Consider the following 4291-nt stretch of genomic DNA (forward strand, 5'->3'; position numbering starts at 1 on the left):
GTTAGCTGGGCGCAGTGGTGGGTACCTATAATCCCAGCTGCTCCAGAGGCTGAGGCAGGAGAATCACTAGAACCTGGGAGGCAGAGGTTACAGTGAGCCGAGATTGTTCCATTGCACTCCAGCCTGGGTGACAGAGCGAGAATCCATCCAAAAAATAAAATAAAAATAAAAAAACTATAAAGTAAGCAGCTGATGCTACACTCCTGGTCATCCACATAGCAGTTTCATGCTGTCTTCTAACTACCCTTGGTGCTACCCAAGCCTCTCTTTCTTAATGGAGAACTTACGAGTCCAGGAGTTTGATTCCTCTTATTTCTCTCAAACTTAATTGCAGTGAAATGTAGTTAAAAGCTTGGGGATCCAACTAACTGCAATCAAATCCTGCCCCCAGGTTTTACAAGCTGTGTAACTCTGTTTAAGTTATTTAACATTTTTGTGCCTTAGTTTACTCATCTGTAGTATGTTTGATTACGTAACCAATATCATACAATTGTGATTAAAAATTAAATGAGTCAATGCATATGAAGCAGCCAGAATTGTGCCTGGCATGTCCTTAATACATTTCAGCAATTTTTAGCCATTTTAATTATTAGTTCTGGGTCTCAGTTACCCAGGGATTTGTTGATCAGTGACTAGTTGGTTTTACAAATGCACTCCTATTGAGATCTTCATGACTGAGAATATGATGTTTTCTCTTTCTTCATGATGTTTGCATTTGAATTGTTTTAATGAGACATGCCAAAGATACAGTTAATTTGTGGGAATTTTGAGCACTATAAAGGTTTTTAGATGAGCTTACTGAATGAGTTTTTTCCCATAAAATCACAATTTCCAACTTTAAGCATTTCCTGAAGATTCTGTCTTTGCTCTAGATGAAGGTAGGTACTAAGGGCTAAAAGAAAGAATAGAAGAAGAAAGATAAGATCCTACTAAACATAGTACAAACAATTTTTAATCTAACAAACAATATGAAAGGTTATGCAAGGTTGGCCTTTAAATACTGTAGAAACTCAGAAAGGTCACATAGTTTGGGATAGTCATTAAAACCTTTTTGGATGAGGCATGTTAAAAGAGAACTATTACTAATAGATAGAGTTAGGATGGATTGAAAAGAGACACAGATAAAAGAAAAGACACAGAATAGATTGTAGGTAATTGTCTATTAAATGTATGAGCACTGCTGCTAATAGAATCTCTGAGGGTACATTGCAGTTCCTATGTCTCATTCAAAAGTTTTAGGATGAAATACCATTGCTTATCTACCTACTGCCTTCACATATCAAATGGTAGTTACTGCAGTGGGACTATAAAGAGTGGCAAACTTCATGCAAAGAATATTATACAGAGCATGCATTCATGTTTTGTTGTTGGTGGATAGAGTAGTTAGGAGAAGAGGGATGGAGTTTCTGTAATTTTTTTTCAGAGGCCCCTTCCAACTCTGAAATGATGATTGTCTGATAATAAAGGTTTACAGTACTATGCTGTGATTTCTCTGGACATAGATTGCATTTTTGCATACTAGTTCAAAAGGGTCTTCATGTGTTCTTTGTTAGGACTTTTACCTTCCTCATCTCCTAAGGATAATCTATGAGTGCAAAACAACTCTGGAAATTAGCATTTATTTCTAAAGAATTACTTGAGCAACTAATGTGAGTAGGCTTTTGTATGTCTGTAGCTCCTGGAAGTCCTTTAATCATCAGGAAATGCCCTACGTATCCATCAATATTCCTTGAAAAGTTTGATTTTCAAGATCCATTAATGAATGAAAGGAGCATCTAGGTCTTCCATGATTTGGGCCTCATATGTGATTCTGTTTGTAGTAGACAATTTCTCTCATCGATGTAGGGAATGTCTTTGATAGTGTAATGACAAAATCACATTGCATCATATTTTTTATTTCAAATGACATTCTGATTTCCTTTAAACATTCTTATTAGTTTTGGAATTAGCATAAACTGATAGCCTTATATTAGGCATCTGAAAAATCTATTGTAGTATGAGTATTACCAGTGAGATAAAGCAGGACAAGGCATGTGGCCCACTATCACAAAGAAGCGTGTCACAATCTTTAACTTACAAGAAAGAATATAAAGATAATGTTTCTCATTTATCCATACTTAAATATTAAGTTTGAGCTGTTTTTATGATTACATATATATGACAGAAAACTATTTAAGGACACTGGTTTGCAAGTCGGGCAGCCCTGGGTTTGAGTCCTATTGTGTCCAAAATTGGTGGGTTCTTGGTCTCACTGACTTCAAGAATGAAGCCGCGGACCCTTGCAGTGAGTGTTACAGTTCTTAAAGATGGTATGTCCGGAGTTTGTTCCTTCTGATATTCGGACATGTTTGGAGTTTCTTCCTTCTGTTGGGTTTGTGGTCTCGCTGGCTTCAGGAGTGAAGCTGCAGACCTTCATGGTGAGTATTACAGCTCTTAAGGCGGCACGTCTGGAGTTGTTTGTTCCTCCCGTCCGGAGTCATTCATTCCTCCCAGTGGGTTCGTTGTCTCGCTGGCCTCAGGAGTGAAGCTGCAGACCTTCACGGTGTTACAGCTCATAAAGGCAGTGCACACCCAAAGTGTGAGCAGCAACAAGATTTATTGCAAAGAGCGAGAGAACAAAGCTTCCACAGTGTGGAAGGGCACCTAAGCAGGTTGCTGCTGCTGGCTCAGGCAGCCTGCTTTTATTCCCTTATCTGACCCCACCCACTTCCTGCTGATTGGCTCATTTTACAGAGAGCTGATTGGTCCATTTTGACAGGGTGCTGATTGGTGCGTTTACAATCCCTGAGCTAGACACAGAGGGCTGATTGGTGTATTTACAATCCTCTAGCAAAAGGTAAAAGTTCTCCAAGTCCCCACTAGATTAGCTAGACACAGAAAACTGATTGGTGCATTTACAATCCCTGAGCTAGACACAGAGTGCTGATTGGTGCATTTACAATCCTTTAGCTAGACACAAAAGTTCTCCAAGTCCCCACTAGATTAGCCAGACACAGAGCACTGATTGGTGCATTTACAAACCTTGAGCTAGACACAGGGTGCTGATTGGTGCGTTTACAAACCTTGAGCTAGACACAGAGTGCTGATTGGTGCATTTAGCTAGACATAAAAGTTCTCTAGGTCCCCACCAGATTGTCTAGATACAGAGTGCTGATTGGTGCATCCACGAACCCCGAGCTAGACACAGAATGCTGATTGGTGCATACACAATCCTATGGCTAGATATAAAAGTTCTCCAAGTCCCCACCCCACTCAGGAGTCCAGCTAGCTTTGCCTAGTAGATCCCACGCCAGGGCGGGGGAGCTGCCTGCCAATCCCATGCCACATGCCTGCACTCCTCAGCCCTTGGGTGGTCGATGGGACTAGGCGCCGTGGAGCAGGGGACTGTGGCTGTCAGGGAGTCTTGGGCTGCCTGGGCCGCTTGGGAGCCCACCCGGGGAGCGGGGAGGCTCGGGCATGGCTGCAGTCCCAAGCCCTGCCCCGCGGGGAGGCGGCTGAGGCCCGGCGAGAATTCAAGCGTGGTGGGGGTGGGCTGTCAGTGTTCGAGGACCCAGCGCCCCCTCCGCAGCTGCTGGCCAGGGTGCTAAGACCCTCACTGCACAGGGCCCGAGGCGCTGGCCGGCAGCTGTGAGTGTGAGGCCCGCCGAGCCCACGCCCACCCGGAACTTGCCCTGGTCCGCAAACGTGGTGCGCAGCCCCGGTTCCCGCCTGTGCCTGTCCCTCCACTCCTTCCCACAAGCAGAGGGAGCCGGCTCCAGCCTCAGCTAGCCCAGAGAGGGGCTCCAACAGTGTAGTGGTGGGCTAAAGGGCTCCTCGAGCATGGCCAGAGCAGACGACAAGACTGAGGAGGTGCTGAGAGCGAGCCAGGGCTGCTAGCCCGTGGTCACCTCTCACTATTTCTACTTATACTGAGCTGTAGTCTCCCAGTTTCTTCATCTGAAAAATAGGATGAAATAAGACAATGTGCATAAAGTGCTTAGTAAGTAGAATTAGTCAGTGGAGGTGAAGTGGGGGTCAATATATAGTGGCCTCTGTCTACATCTTTATAATTTATTTTGTGATTTAAGGGCAACCATTTATGAAATAACATACTTTTTCAAAAAAAACTGGTTTATTCGTTTCATCTTCAGGGTCTGTACTCAATGAACAGAGTGGAAATGCAATTGGAAAAACTCTTAATATAAAATCCTATTAAGGACTACCTGGGTGTTTCCATCTGGGGCTTCTTTACCATACCGACAGGAGAGAAATTCCTTCATTGTTGCATGTTCCCCCTTTACTCCTGTGTATC

The 4291-nt window shown here is 43.5% G+C and overlaps 1 annotated feature.

The window, feature by feature from the left end:
* Positions 3545-4056: an enhancer, noted in NCBI's record as "H3K27ac-H3K4me1 hESC enhancer chr9:22363678-22364189 (GRCh37/hg19 assembly coordinates)". NCBI's record gives its function as "activates a minimal SCP1, AML or CMV promoter by ChIP-STARR-seq in naive H9 embryonic stem cells {active_cell/tissue: H9 hESC(naive)}" and the evidence as "EXISTENCE:reporter gene assay evidence [ECO:0000049][PMID:30033119]".

Source organism: Homo sapiens, chromosome 9 (assembly GCF_000001405.40).
Source record: "Homo sapiens chromosome 9, GRCh38.p14 Primary Assembly".
NCBI classification, from domain to species: domain Eukaryota; kingdom Metazoa; phylum Chordata; class Mammalia; order Primates; family Hominidae; genus Homo; species Homo sapiens.